We start from the raw sequence: 19883 nt of genomic DNA, 5'->3' as shown, positions 1-19883 counted from the left end.
CTTGCCTCAGCTTCTATCTCATCGTACAGGAACTGCTTTTTAAACTTGGTCAGAGCATAGTAGGCGCTGTCGTTGTACAGATCCAGAGGGTAGAGGACATACCTGAAGAGGGAAAAACACAGCCAGCCGCTTGCTAATAACCCCCCTTAAGGAAGACAGCTTTATACTTGCTTGGGAAATAGAAACAAGTTCACAGTCAGGAAAAGACCATCTTTCATCCCTCTCTTACGTTCCTTGAGCCTCCACCGCTTAGAAGCAACTTACTTTACAGTCAGTCCAAAGAAAAAGTCCAGGGTGCAAATAAAACCAAGACTTGTAAAAATTCATTTGGGACTAAAACACATCAGGTAGCAGTTAAGAATACAAGCTACCTGCTCCTGAGATGATTCTTTTCTGAGCATAGCTGTTATGAGGCTGACAAGGCATAGGAAGGGCAGTTGGGCTGGGAAACTTCAGAATTTATCTGCAAGGCTGAATTAAATGATTCTGTCTGGCTGAGCTCTCCCTGTGGTGGGACATATGGCCTCATTTCTTGTCAACTCAGTGCTTCCTTCTGGAAAGAACGGATCTCCCTGGCAAACTGCCCTCTACTTGTACCCCAGGAGCCACTTGCTGGCCCAATCCTGCCTCTTACTCCATCATGGAAGGTTCTTTGGTTTCCAGGATATGGTCCGTTAGAATCCAGGGCATGGACATCTCGATGGGGAACTGGATTCGTCGGCCCATGGTTAACTCCAGGAAGAATTCTCGGAACCAGAGCTGGGAGAGGTCACAACACTGCTGCAGGGCTTCTGAAAGCATAAGGGAACGAGCCTTTGGTTACTTTTAGAACTAAAAGACCTTAGTTCTCATTGTTTTTATTAATTTTCATTGTTATTGTCACTGTGTTAGGTATGTAGCAGGTACTAATATTGATTAGTAGATCCTGCTCTCTTTTACTTAAAGGCAAGCCTAACATCTACTGCCTCTCAAGCATTTGTTAAGCTTGAGAGGCAGTGGTTGTGGGCTGGTGGGGGAGAAGAGGAGGCAGTGATGTTTTAGAGCTTTAGATGCCCCTATAGTTCCCATCCCTCTCCTACAAAGCCATCACTCTCCTACAAAACCTGCAACCTAAGCATGAAAAGTACGCTCGTGGCCGGGCGCAGAGGCTCATGCCTATAATACCAGCACTTTGGGAGGCTGAGGCAGGCAGATCACTTGAGGTCAGGAGTTTGAGCCCAGCCTGGCCAACATGGCGAAACCCCGTCTCTACTAAAAATACCAAAAAATAATAATAATAATAAATTAAAAAAATAAATAATTAGCCGGGCACAGTGGTGCATGTCTGTAATCCCAGCTACTCGGGAGGCTGAAGCAGAAGGATTCTTTGAACCTGGGTGGCAGAGGTTGCGGTGAGCTGAGATCACACGACTGCACTCCAGCCTGAACCTGGGAAGCGGAGGTTGCGGTGAGCTGAGATAGTGCCACTGCACTCCAACCTGGGCAACAGAGCAAGACTCCGTCTCAAAAAAAAAAAAAAAAGTGTGTTCATTATACAAACACAGTGTCAAGACAGGCCCCCGAGTGCCCACTTTCAACTGGATTGTGGCTCCTTGACTCCTCGCGTGTGATAATTGCCAGATCCCATACAGTTTAGAGACCTTGAAGGCCCTTCCCGGGCTACTCTCTAATGGAGAAGTTTGTACTGTTTGTTACAATCACTCTTGTCAATGCCAGCAGACATATGAAGACTCATGTTCCTGAGATACTACTCTTCCTCTGCTCTGGACATACATCTTACTAAAAGGAGAGGAAGTGTGAAGAACACAGGACTGGGATGCAGCTCGAGAGCCTCCCCTGCTGGCAGCAGCAAGTACTAATTAGCGCTTGGTTGCGGCTGAGTAGCAAAAGTCTAGCATCCGTGTGTCTGTATGTACGTATTCTTGTTTTTGATCCCGCTCTACTAAGGACTTTATGACAAATTAGCCACAAGTATCTCCTGGACAAATTTAGCTAAGTCAGAACAGCTGAGTTGAACCTGGCCTTTCCTAGCTCCAAAAGCCCACTGGAAAGTGTATGTGTTTTTTCCTTGGTGGTGATATGTGCCCCTTAGGGTCAACGGTCACGTCCCTTTGCAATGCCTGGCTTGGTGGTCTTAGCGGCTCTGAGAGCCCTCATCCCCTCCTCCCATGCCTTAGCAGGGATGGGATGCAGCTCACCACTGATGTTGAGCAGATGTGTGAAGAAGAAGGACTGTTTGTGAAAGTCCTCTATGGCGAGGACAATGGGTCCATCCAGGCTGCTCCTCAGGGTCTTCTTGGAGCCGCTTTTGTCTGCAATGAGTGATTCAAGCATGGTCCGCACCATGTACAGCTTGAAAAAGAAAGCAAGATGAGAAGGTCAGAAGCTGGCCCTCTACCCCGGGGAAAAAGGTTGCTTCATGTTGTATTTATGTATTTTTTTTTTTCTGCAGATGTCTGCTCTTAAAAAGCACTGTCCTAAGGAAGCACCAGTTTAAGGTTTGAGAAATAAATGTGGAACTGTGAAAACCTTCATGGCCAACCCGGGCCCCGTGGCATCCCTGGGCCAGTGGACCTGGCCACACCAGGTAGCTCCCTGCTCTGCTTGGCCAAGGGCGTGTATATCAGAGGAGAACCTCATTACGTGTCACCCTGGAGTCACTCCCTGCTTTCCCAGAGGGCCACAGATGCCATGGGTGGAGCACTGGACTGGGAGTCAAAAGACCGGGGTTCAAGGCCAGGCACTGCTGCTGATTTGCTGTGTGACCTTAGGCAACAAAGCCCCCACTCTGGGCCTCAGTTGTCTCATGTAACATGAGGGGGTTGGACCAGATGCCTTCTCACACCAGTCCCTTTCAGCACTAACATTCTGAGGAACTGAGAAATGGGATAAGATCAGAACGAACCCCCTCCCACACCTGTTCCTGACCCTCAGCGTTTTGACCCCATGGCTGAGCGATGGCGCCCCCTTGGTGGCATCAGCTGCACTGCACAGCCTGCTGAAGTTCAGGGTGGAAGGCGGGTTAACATTGGTACTTACACAGGAGGCTACTAGACAATTAACTCCCGCTTACAGGGTGCCTTAAGTGCAAAGGATGCAAGTGCGGTGGGGTGGTTCTCTTTGCTAATCTAGATCTCTCCACATCATTTGTCTGTGAATCTTAGGGCTGGAAGGGGCCTTGAGGAGCCAGGCTAGTCCATTCCTGCTGCCTCCTCGAGAAGGGTACCCAAACCAACCCAGCCAGGCGGTGTGATACCAGGGATCGGCAGCCTCTTCGGCCCTGTGTGCCACCAGTGGGGTGAAACAAAGCCCTCGGGGACCACTGGCAGGCCTAAGACATAGATAGGAGAGAAGGAAGAGGGAATGGGAGGGCAGGAGAGACAGGGAAGAGGGAGAGAGAGAAAGAGAGAGAGAGAGAGAAAAGCAAGAGGTATTGTATACGGTGGGAAAGCCGCCGCGACTGCCGGGGGCCACCTCTGAGACACTCCAACCTCCCAGCAACCGCGTTCGTCTTCGCTGCCTCTGGAGCTTCCCTGGGATCTCCCCCATCACATGCCTGGCACTGATGCGGGTAGAGCAGCCACAGAAACGTGTGACCCACCATCCCTGCCACAGGGCTTCCTTTGTGGGAAAGCAGCCACAGTGGCCGTCAGTGCCTCAGACAGTCCCCCATCTGCAGCCCTGTTGGAGGGCCTGTCTCACCATCCCTAGGAGCCGAGAAGCACTCTTCTCATGACGGCCTCTCAAGTCCTCAAAGGAAGAATCCAAGTCTAATCTGTTGTGGGTGCTGTCCAGTTGATATCCAACTCTAATTCTCTGAAAACTGGTTTCACCCATAAGAAGGTGAACTTTTTTCCCACGTACTTTTACTTAACAGAGCATTTAATTCACCAAAACAGTCTCTATCCCAACTATGCAAGATGCCCATGTCTACTGTGTCCTGAAGACCGTACCAGAGCCCTGGGTGGGTGTCAGGAGACCTGGGTTCTTGTCCCACCTCCACCTGGGACTCACCTTGTGACTTGGACAAGTCACTTCCCCTCTCTAGACCTCAGTTTCCCCATCCGCAAGAGAGGGGGAGGGCCTAGGTTTCTCTAATAGCGCTCCCAGCTCTGGTTGTCTACGAGTCTATTCAACATGTCTGTGCCACCTAGCATGACCTGGTAGAGGTTGGGGGTGAGGCGGGATTTACTGCTGGTGACCCACCCCTCTCACATTATCTACACAAATACTCCTTCCTCTCCTCTCCTTTTCTCTCTGCCTGTTAAGTCCCCTCCTCCTCCTTTCCAGTGTCTTTTGTGCCTTGTCTGTCTCTTGCTCACTCATGTCTTAAAATTTACAGAAACACTTGAAAGCCCTGCTCAGTGTCTCCCGGACCTCAACCCTTGATATTACACAGAACTGTTTGCAGACGCTTCCTTGGGGCGTTCTACAACCAGCCGGTGAGATTGGTGCAAACTAGCAGAGGGCTGTGAAGCCAAGGGGAGTTAAGATGACCCTGCCGAGAACCCACCTCTCCCCTGCCCCAGCCCCCAGCACAGACACAGACGCACACACAGGGAGAAGGGTCGGGGGTGGGCCTCAGATGGTCCATCTTGGGTGACTGAGAACAGAGAGAGGCTTAAAGGTCATGGGAAGTGAGGCCTGTGAGACCCTTAAACTTGCAATGAGAACCATCTGCTTTTTCCAGTACATCAAAAATATTACCAGAAACTACCTATCCTTAAGTAGGTAGCAGGGATTTAACGAAGATGCCCAGATTATTGACTTTTTTTTCTGTAACGTTATGACTGCTCTGGATAAGCCACGGGCGACCTCTTGTGCAGAAGCTCTGGCTGGCAACTCTGAGTGTTTCCAAATACTAGACTTCCTCTAAGGGGACAAGGGCTTTCAATACTTGCACTTTTGGAAGGATGTGGAACTAAGGAATATTTTGTTAGTAACACAATCTCATCCAAAGTTTTCATTTTACAGAGAAGATAATCAGAGCTCAGAAAGCTCAAGGTGCTTGCCCAAGATCACACAGCAAGTCAGAGGCAGAACTTTTAGGGGAAAGGGCCAGGACTTATTAAAGAGGGGCAGCATAGATGCATGCAGATAGATTCCACTTTAACCTCCTCCTCCACTTTGGAATCTATACTTCATAGGACTAGAAGATAGCCAGGCAAGGTGGATGTGGTGGTATTATCCCCATTAGCCAGTTTAAACAACTGAGGCACAGAGAGATCTGTAAAGTGCCCGAGGTCACACAGGTATCTAGGACTAGAATCCAGGTCTCCTGAATCTTAAGCCAGTGGTCCTCCTTCCTATATCAAAACAAGATGGCAGAATAAGACCGGAGCAGCCACTCAACCCTGCCCCTCCTGACCGACGGCTCCCAGTCCCACTGCCCATGGCCAGCCATGATGATCTACCATAGCCCGGCTGGCCTCTGAGTCAACGCAGCTGGCCTGTGCCTGGAGCCGCTTACCTGTGTGCTGGATGGCCCCACAGCACGCCGGGGCACCTTGATATCAAATCCACCTTTGGGGTCCTTCTCCCCTCTCAAGCATGGGTCATTAGGGGGCTCTCGCCCTCCCTCCCAGTCACAGATGGTCTTTCGAATTGCCTGTAGGACGCTGGGGAAGGAAGAACTAAGACTTAGACCAGGTTTCACCATGGGAAAACGTCACTACAAGCTTGTGTTTCTAGGGCCCGTGGTGTCCCAGGAACACCCACATTTGAATTCTTGGGGTGCTTGTAAAGCATGCTCATTTCTGCCCCAATTCCAAAACTCTGGTTTAACAGATTTAAGGTACAGTCCAGGAATCTGTGTTTAAACAAGTGTCCTACATGGTTCTGATGTCCAAGGGATGTCTGAGAACTCAGCTCTGAGCCCATCGAGTGAGACAGAACTTGTGTGAGGCAAGAGGTCTGTATTTCCTTTCTGGTTATAGGGGAGTCTCACCGGTCTTATGAAATCTGTGTGTGCTTAGTTTTCATAATAGCTTAGATGTGCTGCATACTTACTCCATGCTGCATGTGCTTAGGTCTATATATGGACCATCTCATTTCATCATCCCAACAGGCAGCAGGTAGCATTATAATCCCCATTTTACAAATGAGGAAAACTGAGGTTTGGAGAAGGTCAGCAACCTGACCAAGTTCACACAGCTAGATAGCAGTGGATATGGACTTCTAGAGATGAAGGCTTAATTCATCCCAAATGCCCAATCTCCTAAAGAGCCCTCTGGAGCTTGCTGGAAGGACCCATGTGTGTTCAGTGGCTGAGCCAGGACATCCTCTCTGATGGGTACCTGGCATGCTTATGTCTGATATGCTCCTGAAGGCATCTGAAAACCCACCTGATGAGGACATTCTTCTTCTTCCGTACCGCCTGCCGCAGGGGCTCACGCAGCGTCACCTGGGCGAAGTCCTGCAATGCCGCGTAGATGGTGTTCCTGATGGCCTGGTTGAAGACGCTCTCCATCCTGCCCATGAGCACCTGCAGGCCTTTGATCATGGCGATCACCTGGGCAGGAAGAGGCCAAGGGTCATGTTCACCATGTCCAGCACACCAGCTGTCTACTACCCATCACCGCCCTGCCAGGGGAGGCGGGGAGTGAGATGTCCAGAGGCATGAGGCCAGTGCTACTCAAAGTGCCAGCGCATGGCTAGGTAAGAGATGTGTGCCAGAATGTACGTATATCAGCACTTGGCTTCATTCATTGAGAAAGTCTTGCTACAAAACACAAATGTCAGCTCAACTAACAGCATTCTTCGCAATGCAACTGATTTTCATCCTCGCATGAGCTCCCAATTTTGTTGTTCACTGCTGACAAATAGCAGCTGGCCCATGGGCCACAATTTGAGCATTTTGAGAAGTGCCTTGGCTTTTGAAGGCCTCTCCATAGACCAGGCACTCACAGACAACATCAAATAGAACTTTTTTAACATAAAATTTTCTAAAGAATTTTTACAACCTTTGTTTTTGAAACCGTTTGGCCAGTTGCTGCTTGAGTTTATAAAATCAAAACTTCTCCTGCAGAAGTCATGGGGGAGAATGCCTCTACTCCCCTATTTCCCTTCTCCTTACCCTAACTCACTTATCTGTTTGGAGAGATGGGGATTCAGGCACGTGTGATGAGAGGAGCCTGGCCTGACCTTGGCTCGCTCTTTTGGGACCTGCCTGCCTGCAAGTATGTGGCCTCCCTTCTAGGTTTCTGGCTGCTTCTTGCAGTAACCATCCCCTGCCCATCCCGAGGAAGGGAGGCGTGTATCTATGCAGCTGCTTTGCCTATTACCTAGTGGCAAGTTTAATGAGATGTAGGAGGCATAGGAACACTGGTGTGGCCTTGGGTGAAAACCACATTCTCTAGTCTAGCTTTACCAGCAGTAAGTCTGAGCCTTTGACTCCATTGGCCTCTAATATTAATTTCTCAATTGATTCAGAATTCAGAGGGAAAGGCATGTGGCAGATCGTCCACCTCACAACTGCCACACAGATCACACCCATAATGGCATGTTCCACCTTCTACACCAGACTGGAAATACACAGGACAGGGCCCAGCTATGCTGTGCACGCCCAACTGCCAGTGTCTGGGTCCATGGTGGGCAGACACATTTTCTGTTGAAAAGGAACAAATAAATGAATGAATGAGCTCAGACCCTAAGGCTGTTTTTTTCTCTAAAACTTAAAGGAAGAAAAAGAACATTTTTAGATAGAACTGGTATGAAAACAACTCAGGAGGTGATGGTTTTCATTGGCACCAACAGTACAACAATTTTGTTGGTGATGAGCTTTAGTGCAGAGAAATAATGGGAGAGAAGCATTAGAGGACTGTTAGATCATAACAGAATCTGGGCCCCTGGCTACAGATATAACTAGGAGACATTAGGAAAAAGGAAGGAGTAAATAATGAAGATGTCTCAGAATGGCTCCAAATACAGAGGAGTGGGCAGGCCTGTTGGATCTAAAGGAAAAATCTTTACAACTCTAGACAAGGCAAAGATTTCTTAGCTGAAACCCCCAAATCACTAACCACCAAATAACTGACAAATTGGACTTCATCAAAATTAAAAACAGCTGCTCTTCAAAAGGCACCCTTAAAAAATGAAAAGGCAAAGTCACTGATGAGAAAAAATATTTGCGACATATATTTGACTGAAGACTTGTGATCTAAAATATGGAATGAATTCTCACAATTCCATAATAGGAAGACAGAAACCCGATTTTTTAAAAATGGGCAAAAGATCTCAATACTTCACAGAGGAAGATATATGAATGGGATACAGGACAGGACAGAGGTAAAGGGAATTCCCAAGATAATAAATAATGAGGAGAATCTTGGATCAGTGGCGGGGCTGGTCTAGAGACAAACCCATGCAGATTGGAAAGAAGAGAGCTTGTGGAGGAATGCCTCCAAGAAAAAAAGAATAATACCAAAACTCATCAAATGATGACTGTGATGGACTATTTTGTAAGGAGTTTTACATTTTGTTGGTAGGTTTGGGGTTGCCTTTTTGATAGACTCATAGAAAACAAAATAAAAAATACAGTATTGCTAATTCTATGAAGAACAAAAAGTTGTGCAAGAAAATAAATGGATTCACATTAGAGCGTGTGGCTCAGTGATGGACAACAGTTACTTGGTTATAATAATAATAAGGTAACCATTGATTTTTACCAAAAAGTGTAAAATTACCACGATGGGAAGATGGGGGAAGGAAACCAGGTGTGTTGCAGGGATGGGAGGTAGGAAGGAGAGAGCTATATCCTCATTTCCCAAAGTAGAAAATCAATAGAAAATGTCATAAACTGAAAAACCAAGAAATAGTCTCATAAGCCTGTTAGAACTAGGGAGATAAATACCACAAGGAATCGCTTAACAAGTTGAATGGTGTTTCCTATTTGGGGATTCAGAATGGAATAACATGGTACAGGCAGGTTACTACTTTTGCTTTGTTTTATTATTAAAGGCCACATTGAACTACTTTTCTTTTTAATTTTTTTAAACATGTTTTATTAATGAGATAAAAATGATAAAACCTCCCAATGTATAGCAAAGTAATGACTAGATGGAAATAGAGTGACATGTTCTTGGTGGTTGTGCTTGGATGACGATATAAGGTTGTGGGAAGGTGAAGGTAGAAGTGGGTTGCGGGAGCATCTTCTGAATCACTTACAGTGCATACGCATCCCTTTTATTAAGGAAATAAGTGCATAAATAGTTTTATAAAGTTGCATTTACCCTCTGACTGTCTCACTTTAAATAGGCTTGAGGATGACTTTGTCCTCTGGTGATGACTGCAAAACTTTCTTCCAGGTTGCCCATTAGTAATAGAAGTGCCAAGGGGTCTGGAGCCACTCAGGACAATGTCAAGTGTGATTATGAAATTATGCCACCGAGCCTCAGTCCTTTAAAGTGAAGCTTGGAGAGATGACGACTCTAATCTCTTACATTTGTATGGCCCTTTAAGTTTTCAGAGCTCATCTACATCCATTATCTTACTTGACAATTATTGTTTGATTCTCCACAATAACCCTGGGATGGGGCAGGGGAAGGTTGATTAGCTCCATTTTACAGATAAGGAATCTGAGGCTCTGAGAGCTGAAGTGACCAGAGGGCCCGGGGCTGGGATCCAGGTCTCTGATTTCTAGATTCGTCTCTTGTAGGTGTCAAATGGTCCTCAAAGAAATAGCTGTCACTCACAACCTAGTGTAAAGGAGTTTTCCTCCCAAATAGAAACATCATTTTGTAATCAAACAAAACACAATACAAAAGGTTATAAATCAGACAGACCTGTTTCCAGAAATTACTACTGTTCATGGTTTGGTATACATCATAAATATTTATGTCCTTCAGTTTTGCACAAATATATAAAAGTATATTATATTTTGGTATAAGTGGAATCATTTTATATGCTGTTCTGTTTTTGGTCTAAATGTCTATATTTGGATTTTTATTTTTTATATGTTGATATACGTATTTAGACATATTACATATTTCTTTACATATTTAAAAATATCCACATTTATGTGTATATGCATATTTATTTCTAGATATATTTTTGCATCTTCCCTGTCTGCATGAAAACTACAGATATGCTGTTCTTTAATTGTTTCTTTTTTAACTTAACAATATGCTGAGCATAGCCTTCCATGTAGGTATATTTTTTTACTTTTTATTTATTTATTTTTTTTAAGACAGAGTCTCACTCTGTCGCCCAGGCTGGAGTGCAGTGGCACAATCTTGGCTCAATGCAATTTCCACCTCCCGGGTTCAAATGATTCTCCTGCCTCAGCCTCCTGAGTAGCTGGGATTATAGGTGTACACCACTATGCCTGGCTAAATTGTTTTTGTATTTTTAGTAGAGATGGGGTTTCACCATGTTGGTCATGCTGGTCTTGAACTCCTGACCTCAACTGATCCACCCCCTTCAGCCTCCCAAAGTGCTAGGATTACAGGTGTGAGCCATGGTATACCTTTTTTAGAGACTGCATAGCATGCAATGATATAGCTGAATCTTAACTTATTGACCTGGTTCCATATTGAAGAACATTTAAGTTGTTTCATATATTTTGGTATTATAAACAACACTGTGATAAATATCCATGTACAAATATCTCTGCACAGTTGGCTTATTTCCTTGGGATATAGTCCCAGAAGAAGAACTTCACCAAAGGGTATGCACATTAAAAACATGAGTACATATAATCAGATTGCTCTCATAGAAAGCCTACAAAATGTAGACTGACCACTAAAGACATGAGAATGTCTATTTCCTGCACTTTAACCTGCAACAGGCATCATCCAGCTGTCAAATCTCTGCTATCCTGATGGTAAACACTGTATCCCATCTTATTCCAATCTGTAGCTCTCTGACCACTGACCAGTTTGGGCATTTTTCATACCTCTTGTAGCCATTTGTTTTTCTTTTGTTTCTTCTGTTGGTTTCTTTGTGCCCGTTTTTTTTTCCAGTGGAATGGATGTTTTTCTTTGGATTTTTAAGAACAGAATGAGTTTCTAATCAATTCTGAGTAGCAGAATAACTTCTGACGGATTAATTTAGATGGTAGGACAGGGAAGAGCACGAAAATTAGGGCAACCGATGCTGTTTTCTTGCTCAGAACTACTCAGGAACCACCATGAGCTGCAGCCTTGGGGAGGGAGGGAGATGCAGGGAGTCTGCACCTACCTCAACGAAGGCAAATTTTTCCTCACTGGTGTAATTGTAGCGTGTGGCTCTCTCATATTCCTCCGCGGTGCCAGGACAGTCCTTGTTGCAGAACTTGTCTGTGGGATGAACCAGCTTCCAAGAGTACTGGGGAGAGTGGGAACAAACCAAACGTCCATCAACTGATGAACGGACAAACAGAATGTGGTGGATCCATGCAATGGAATATTATTCAGCTGGAAAAAAGGAATAAAGTACTGATTCATGCTACAACATGAAAAACCTTGTAAGTATGCAAAAGAAAAGAAGCCTGATACAAAAGACCACATATCATATGATTCTATTTATGTGAAACATCCGGAATAGGGAAACCTATAGAGGTAGAAAGCAGATTGCTCAGGGCTAGGGAGATGGGAGGGGAGATAACACAGGGTTTCTTTTTGAAGTCAAGAAAATGTTCTAAATTTGACTGTGGCTATACAACTCTGCGGATATACTAAAAACCAATGAACTTATACTTTAAATGGGTAAATCGTATGGTACGTGAATTGTAACTCCGTAAATCTGTTAAAAAGAGAGTGCTAGGGGGAGATGGAGGCAGATTCCAAGGAAAGAGAGGTCAGTGTGAGGCCCTCTACCCAGAGACACCTACCACCTCCATGACGTGGGCGCTCCACTTGGATAGAAGCTGCAGACCCCGCAGGGCTAGGTCGAAGAGCTCGCGATACTCCTCGTCTGACTTCTGGCTGTCCAGCCCTGAGCCCGTCACCACCTGGGGAGCATCAGGTGTCATACTCATGGTCTATGTGCCTGACACTTTTATATGTTATCTCATTGATTCCCCCAAGAACACTGCAGGGAAGTGCTATTATTACATCCCCTTGACAGATAAACTGAGGCTCAGACAAGTGCCTTGCTGAAGGCCACATGGTTTATAAATCACTGAAGGTTTATAAATTACTGAAGTGCACACGATATAGTAACTCAGGAACATATACCTACATAGAGATATTAAATTTATGTATGCACCAATATGTTTTTCTTTTATTCTTCTTTTAGAGACAGGGTCTCACTGTGTTGTCCAGGCTGGTCTCCTGGGCTCAAGCAATCCTCCTGGCTCAACCTCCCAAAGTGCTGGGATTACAGACGTGAGCCACCACACCCAGCCTCAACAATATTTTTTACAAAGCAATCTTACTCTTAATATATGGGATTCCTTCTGATTTTCTAGTCTATATTTATATAAAAATGCTAATCACAAACACTAAGTTGATTTCACAACTCATTAGACATGAATCACTGATTGAAAGGCAGTGGATAAACATCTATATAATATTCCACAATGATACAGAATATGTGTGTATGCACAAACATACTGTGTGTATATATGTACATACACATATATACATATACAGCCAGTCCTCATTATTGGCGGATTCTGTATTTGTGAATTCCCTTACTGGCTAAAATTTATTTGTAACCCCAAAATCAACACTCATGGTGATTTCTCAGTCATCTGCAGACATACACCCACTCCCAGCTGAAGTCGGACAAAGTGACTCTGCCTTCTTGTTTCAGCTCTCATACAGTAAACAAGTGTCTTTTTTGAAGTCTACTTAGTGCCATGTTTTCTATATTTTTGTGCTTTTTACTCTAATTGTTCAATTTAAAATGGCCCCCAAGCTTAGGGCTAATGCGCTATATAGCGTTCCTCTGTGCAAGAAAGCTGTAACATGCCTTATGGAAAAAAAATACGTGTTCTAGATAAGCTTTGTTCAGGTGTGAGTTATAGTTCTGTTGGTCATGCGTTAATGAATCAACAACAGAGATCACATCAAGTGTCTTTAAACAGAAGCACATATAAAACAAGGTTATATATGGATCAGTTGATGAAAATGTTGTGACCAGAGGCTCACAGGGCTGTAACTCTGATTTCTCCTTGGAGCAATGATTCAGTATTTGCTACTTCAGAGTTCATGGCCACTTTACAGAACTACTGTGAATAATGAGACTCAACATGTATAGAGCATATAATTTTAAAAAATATCTTTGGCCAGACTCATTCTTAGACCACACCAAAATGAGAGTAGGAATTAAGAGTTCTGGCTGGGTGCAGCGGCTGATGCCTGTAATCCCAGCACTTGGGGAGGCTGAGGCAGGAGAATTGCTTGAGTCCAGGAGTACAAGACCAGCCTGGGCAACATAATGAGATCTATTTTTAAAAAAGAAATAAAATATTAAAAAAAATTTTTAAAAGAGCTCTAGCACTCAAAATAAGTTATTCCTGTAACTTCAGTTCAACGGATTGGTACATATATTTAGAAAGCTAAAGTTCTGGGCTTGACCTTGGTCCCTGTGGGCCACAAGTCTAATGACCACAAGTCATGGTCTAATGGCCACGAGGCCTTGCATTTGTCAGACAGTCCCCATTTCAGGTACGTTGCTCTGTGATCAAAGGCATCTCCTGAGTTGGGGTTTGGAAAGTACAGTCACCATGGCTGTTAGCCACATGGTGGAAGCAGTGAGCATACGTGGGTCAGTGCGCAGTCACCCACGAGTGCTATGTAATAAAGGAATCTGAGTCAGGGGATTAGTGTTTATCAAACAGCATATTCATTTATTAGGAGGGTACGTATGGGATGAGTATCAGAAGGATATATATATATCCAAATACCAGTCTTAGTTGGTTCTGGGATGGTAGGATTTTATGTGATTTTCTCTCCTTTCGCTTATTTGGGTTTTTTTCCTGAGGTTTGTGCGCTGATCATGTCTCCATTAAAAAAAAAAAGTTTTTAAAAAAGGAAAAATTAAATGAAATGTAATTATTGGGATTAGTGGAGATTTTTATGGCCTTTATCTGCCCTTAAGTATATTACTGATTTTTTTTTACAATGATCATTTATTACTGTTTAGTTTTAAAACATTTAGGTAGCGTTATGAGTACGAGTGTTCTGTTTTCTTGCCATCCAGGTTGGAGATGGTTTGCATCACTTATCATGTACAGGCAGAACTAACCATCACCAGGCCCTTATTATCTGCCATATCTTTTAATCCTCTCAATGAACCTTTCAGGATAGATACTGTTATCACCCTCATTTCACAGATGAGGAAATTGAAGCAAAGAGATGTTGAATAACTTACAAAGGGCAGCAGCACCACCAGAATTCACCCCAGTCTGCCTGGCTCCAAAACCCCTGCTGTTGGCCACTTTACCCTCCTGCCTCCCTCCCTTCTACTCTCCAGTGTTCCGTGGGTCCATGTTCTTTCCTGGCTGCTCCTTACCCCTTCTGGCCCTGGGCCCACGGGCCTGTGCCCCAGCAGCCTGCATGCTCACCTCACTGTTGCTGTAGCGAGCGAGCTCGGAGATGAAGCGGATGTGGTCATCCCGGATCTGAACCATCTGCTCGCAGATATTGTACTGGGGGCTGATGCTGCTCTGGGTGCACGTCCACCTGGGTAGAAAATTATGGGGTCGGAGAGGGTCCCAGCCTCAGGCGCCTGGGTGGAACAGGCATTAGCTGCTCCTGGTGCTCAGCCCACGTGGCCAACTCCCCTGGGTGACACCAAATGGTATCCCAGCCGCCTCAGCAAGAAAGCCTGCTAAGTCCAACACTGTGGGAGCTTCAGGCCTAATGGAACAGTCCTTCCTCCTCCTCTTTGGTGCCAGCCTCATCTAGGATCCAACTGTAGGCCTTTCCAGATACCTGGTCCATAATACTTACCAGTAATATGAGAGGGGCGGGAACACAGCCTCTCTAGGACTACAAAGGGATGGAATCTGAGCACAGAAAAAGCAAGGTGGGCAACCTCCAAAACCAGCCTACCCACTCTGACAGCACAGACACTCTGCGGTTGAAGCTGGCTTTGGGGGGCCTTTGGGCTGGGATTGCGGAAATATGAATGTGACTGTGCCTCTTTTCCAACAGTGCCCTGGCAACATGGAAGCACACTGTGGTGGGAGAAGCCAGGGCCACTCTGAGACGTGGGGGTGGCCCCTCCCTCCACCCACCCCCTCTACCTCTCGCCCCCTTCTCTCCTTCTCTTTCCACCCTCTTTCCTCCTTCCCTCCGCCTTTTTTCCACGCCTTGTGAAAAGATGTCATTAGGAAAACCATCCTAAGTCAGAGAGGAAATGAATGAATGAACATCTTCACTCTCCATCCCCAAGAGAAAAAGGACCACTCCCTTCACCCTCTTCTACCCTCAGGTGCTGGTGACCCAGCAGACAGATGAAGCATGAGCACCAGACAAGGCAGAAGAAAGATTCTGGGGAGAATTTACTATTTCAAAAGAAGCCCTGATATGGTTCTCACAAGAATGGTAGAACAGTGACAGCCTTCCTCAGGCCTCCCTTCAATATCACTCAAAGAGTTACCTGTGGAGAGGGGAGCACACGGCCCCTCACACCCAACCCCAGTCACTTCCCTAGCCTCCGCTCCCAGCCAGCTTCAGCTGGTCGAGAAGTCAGGCAGGGAAAAGTGAGGAATGAGTTCAGCATTCTCCATTCCCTGCTTTTCCTGCAAAACCCCGTCACGCGCTAGCAGCCAGAGGGTGATGAAGCGACTACATGAGCTTTCCTTTGGACACTTGTTCGCAGAGGCTCCAGGCGGATGCAGTTCAAGGACACTCCATTCATATCTTCTTAAGATGCCAACACACTCGCCCTTGACTAAAGGACGGCTGGTTCCCCTCTGTGTGGAGAGGCCATAACTTCGGGCGAGAAGCACACAGAAGGAACCTCCCTAACAGCCTCAGAGACCAAAAGAGCAGCAGAGGTTGGAGCCCCCCAACTTCAGTGAAGCACTGACACCCCAGGCCTTTGCATAGATGACCCAGAATTGTGGTTTATAAAGCGGCCGAAGGTGAGGCTGCCCACCCAATTCACGTCGACTGCACGATGGACTTAGCGCACGGTCACCTAACCTGAGAGGATCAGTGTGAGGAGGAACAACGCCACCTCTCCTCACTGGACCACTGAGGGCTGGCCACTCTTCAGGGAACGAGGTGGACTCCTGCTGTCCTGCTGAGAGGACATGCGAGTCACTGCTGGGCTGGACAAGGGGCGTGGCTGTGCTCTGAGCCCTTTTGAAGCTGGCAGCAGAGGGCGGATACAAAAGGGCTCAGAGCACCCTCGCGGCTCCCCTCCGGCCGGCACCTGTGTTCTGATGGAATCCACCTGCCCAGGGATCTGGGGAGGGAGGAGGGGCTGAAGTGGCCCCTCGGCTCTCTGCCCGGGCTGGGCATCCTTGCGGGAGCCGAGAGACATTACGGCAGGCACTCACTTGGACTTGTTCTCTTCATAGTGAGCACTGGTCTTAATGTATCTGGCCAGCTCTATCTGCATGTCGCCGAAAAGGGGCACCACCTGCAGCTGCTGCAAAGGAAGCAAACACAGCTCGTGAGATGCTGAGGAGGGGTTGGGGTGGCTGCCTTCGCTGCCACCCCACTGTGGGAGGCAGGCCTCTGTGTGTGCCTGGGGGCCGACCCCTAGTTTCTGCTTCCGATGACGCTACCATGTGACTCTGAAGCCAAACGGAGCCCTAGCCAGCGTATAGGTCCTCCCCTGCCTCCAACCAACTCTATGTTCTAGGCAACGGAGCCCAGAGAGGCAAAGTGACTTGTCCAAGGTCACTTAGCCAACAGCATGTGTGAAGGCCAAGGACTGGATGGATGGCTGCCCAGTGCAGGGTCCTTTCCACTCGAATCTTCCCTGGCTTAAAGCATCCTTGCTGTTATGATTTCTAGGCTAGAAGCAGGTGTCTGAGCGCTGTTGGTCTTCCTGAGAAAGTCTGTACTTTCAAAGCAATTAAAACCGTAATAATACCTAACACCAGAGGGCAAACAACTCCCGACCAAAAACCAGGGCAAATGGCGGGGAGGCTGGTATTTATTATGTGCTTCTCATGCACTAGGTACTATGCCAAGCACTTTAAAAACAGTATCTCAAGCCACACAATAGCCCTGTGAAGTCTGCACTATTATCATTCCCATTTCAGAGAAGAAGAACTGAAGCTTAAACAGCTTAAGTGATTTTTCATAAAGTCAGACCAGCTAGAAGTCAAGAAGCCAGGATTATACAACCCAGGGCTCTGAGTCATCTATGTAACCCCACTGAATCCTCCAGGGAACGCTACAGAGCCGATACCCTTGGTATTCATATTTTTCAGACTTGGAACTCAGTTTCAGTGATTTAGTGACTTTCCCAACGTCATCCAGCTATTAAGTGGCAGAGCCAGACTTACACCCAGGCCTGCCAAGGGAGAGGTTGTATTTCTCTTCTACCCTCATCTCATTCATGCTGACTTAGGGAAGATTTTGCAAGGGTCTCCCAAAATGAGCCCTATTTTCATCTGGGGCAACTCTAGAGAAAAGTAAAAGTTCCACCCTTGAAAACAAGCAAAGCCAAGGCACAGGATTCCTCTTAGTGACTTATGTTCCTTTTCCTTAACCTTGAAGAGTCAGTGGGACTCAGGCTCGATCTAATGCCCTCCATGTCACACCACTGAGTTCTGCTGTGAATATTAATCTGGGCTTTCCCATGACTGACCTCTCAGGCTTGCTCCATGTCGGCAGTGCCCAATGCTAGAATAAACTGAGAACATGGGAAGTTAATTCCAAAGTGTAAGATTCCTTTGCAAAATTCTAAGAGGCTTAGTTTAACTGCAAATTTTTAAAGATCTGTGGCCAAAAGATCAACTCTCAGAGGCACTGAAACACAGTGAGTATATGATGAACGTTGCTGAGGCATTCTATCCAGAGGTAAGGGCAAGCTGAGGTGGTCCCTGGTGTACCAGGTGAGAGGCTGTGATTTTGCAAATGTGAACCAATTTAAAATCCAGTCTTTAATCATTCTACTTCTGCGAGCTCTGATTTATACTGGAAATTAGAGCAGGTGCTGTCTTCTGGGATGTACCTCTTTAAGTGACAAGGGACTTCAGGAAAAAAAAAAAAAAGCAGCATTCAGAAAAGAATCACAGGGCCTCCTCCTAGCCAAATCCCAGCTGAATCCTGCAACTTGGAACGATGTGTGGCTTTCATGCAGCAGCCTTCTAGGGCATAAATGCCTCCATCAATGGCAGCTGGAGGCCCTGCCATTCTATTCTCCTCCTCTTCCTACTCTTGGGATCTTTGGAGCTACAGCTCAATTAAAAAAACCTGACAGTTTTCTGGCTCATTTCATCCCTTTCCCCCAAAGACATCTTGGCGCTGGTAACCTCAGCCCTCTGCCCAGCCCCAGCCCCAGTTGCTGACCTTAAAGAATTTATCAATTTTGCTAAGATTAATTCTCTTCTTGGCATCCAGTTTGTAAATGTTACTGACATTTCCATCCATTAGGTAGAGGCCAAAGCCCATCACCTAGAATGAGAAGAGGGCAGAGCATAGAAACTAATCACATCTGCTGGAAAAGTTTAAAAACAAAAAGGTAGGTCTGTATATGTGTCACACACACACACACACATACACACACACACACACACACCCTGTAGAGACACACATTATATTATGAAAATCTATGCATCTTCAAATAAAGGCAGGAAATGTAAGTCTAATTTCAACCAGAAATTTAGTGTATTACTACAGCAGCTACTTCTTCAGCCCTTACTATGGGCCAGAGTCTGTGCTCAGAGCTTTAATAAGCATGATTTTCTCTTGAGTCAAGTTCTCTGCAATAACCTTATTCTATAGATGAGGAATCAGAGACACAGGGAGGTTAGACAGCTCGCCAAGGCCACACAGCGAAGCAGCAGAGACAGGAGCTGAACAGGATCTGTTGACAATATTTCCGCATTTAGATCTTTCTGAGAGAAAGGGCTACTCCTAGCTCCTTGCTGTATCCCAGGGTGGGGCACAATACAGGCATCTGATGAATACTTGAACAGTTAGTGAATGTGAAAGTATCCACCTCTTTCTCCACAGAAAGGACAATGTAAATGTTTCCAAGGAGCCGCTGGTGACTTTAATTTTTTAAAAAAAATCTCTTCCTGAATTTGCCCTCTGAGTAGGTTGACATTCTTGATTCCAACCCTTCTAATAGTCTCCTGAATGCTGGCTTGTTTTGCTCCTTTTAACATGTATGCAGAAGGGGGCCTGAGCAGCTGTGTGACCATGAGAAAGTCACTTCTCTCCATTCCTCTATTTCTCATCTGACACGAACAGGGTGGAGCAGGGTACTGCTAAGGTTGCTTCCTCTGTGGGTGCATTTCCGGTTTTTTTTTTTTTTTTAAGATGGCCTCACTCTGTTCCCTACCCCACCCCACCCGGGCTGGAGTGCAGTGGTATGATCACAGCTCACTGCAGCCTCAACCTCCTGGGCTCAAGCGATTCTCTCACCTCAGCCTCCCAAGAAGCTGTGACTACAGGTGCACGCCACCACCCCCGGCTAATTTTTGTATTTGTCTGTCAAGATGGTGTTCCACTGTGTTGCCCAGGCTGGTCTCAAACTCTTGGGCTCAAGTGATCCCCCTGCCTTGGCCTCCCAAAGCGCTAGGATTACAGGTGTGAGCCACTCTGTGGGTATATTTTGTTCTGCAGAATGAACTTCATCGTTTTCTGCATAAGAGCAGACAGTGCTCCACGGTGGCATCTGAGTTCACTAACACAAACTAACCATGTGGCAAAACCATGTGAAGGCCAGATTGAAGAGGGTGGGGAACAGAGAGGGAAGAAGGCAGGGAAGTCCGGGTATGGGGGGCTGGAGAATTTGAAGGCCGCATTAAGACTACTTGG

At 46.1% G+C, this 19883-nt stretch overlaps 1 protein-coding gene across 8 annotated transcripts in view; it reads right to left on the bottom strand.

Moving 5' to 3' along the window:
- CYFIP2 (cytoplasmic FMR1 interacting protein 2) overlaps positions 1 to 19883 on the bottom strand; it is a 129472-nt gene that overhangs the window by 69322 nt on the left and 40267 nt on the right. For 7 of the 8 annotated variants that reach the window (XM_011534516.4, NM_001037333.3, NM_001291721.2 and 4 more), the window contains 10 exons: positions 18408 to 18512; positions 16439 to 16530; positions 14492 to 14609; positions 11810 to 11929; positions 11179 to 11304; positions 6345 to 6511; positions 5471 to 5618; positions 2199 to 2352; positions 635 to 791; positions 6 to 102 (listed from right to left, as the gene is read on the bottom strand). In XM_011534516.4, the coding sequence (XP_011532818.1) occupies positions 6 to 102; positions 635 to 791; positions 2199 to 2352; positions 5471 to 5618; positions 6345 to 6511; positions 11179 to 11304; positions 11810 to 11929; positions 14492 to 14609; positions 16439 to 16530; positions 18408 to 18512 (1284 nt within the window). Of the gene's footprint in view, positions 1 to 5; positions 103 to 634; positions 792 to 2198; positions 2353 to 3256; positions 3332 to 5470; positions 5619 to 6344; positions 6512 to 11178; positions 11305 to 11809; positions 11930 to 14491; positions 14610 to 16438; positions 16531 to 18407; positions 18513 to 19883 lie in introns of all 8 variants that reach the window. The other variant, NM_001291722.2, reaches the window with a different exon arrangement.

This window comes from Homo sapiens, chromosome 5, assembly GCF_000001405.40.
Source record: "Homo sapiens chromosome 5, GRCh38.p14 Primary Assembly".
Lineage (NCBI taxonomy): Eukaryota > Metazoa > Chordata > Mammalia > Primates > Hominidae > Homo > Homo sapiens.
This window is presented reverse-complemented; position numbering and strand designations above follow the sequence as displayed.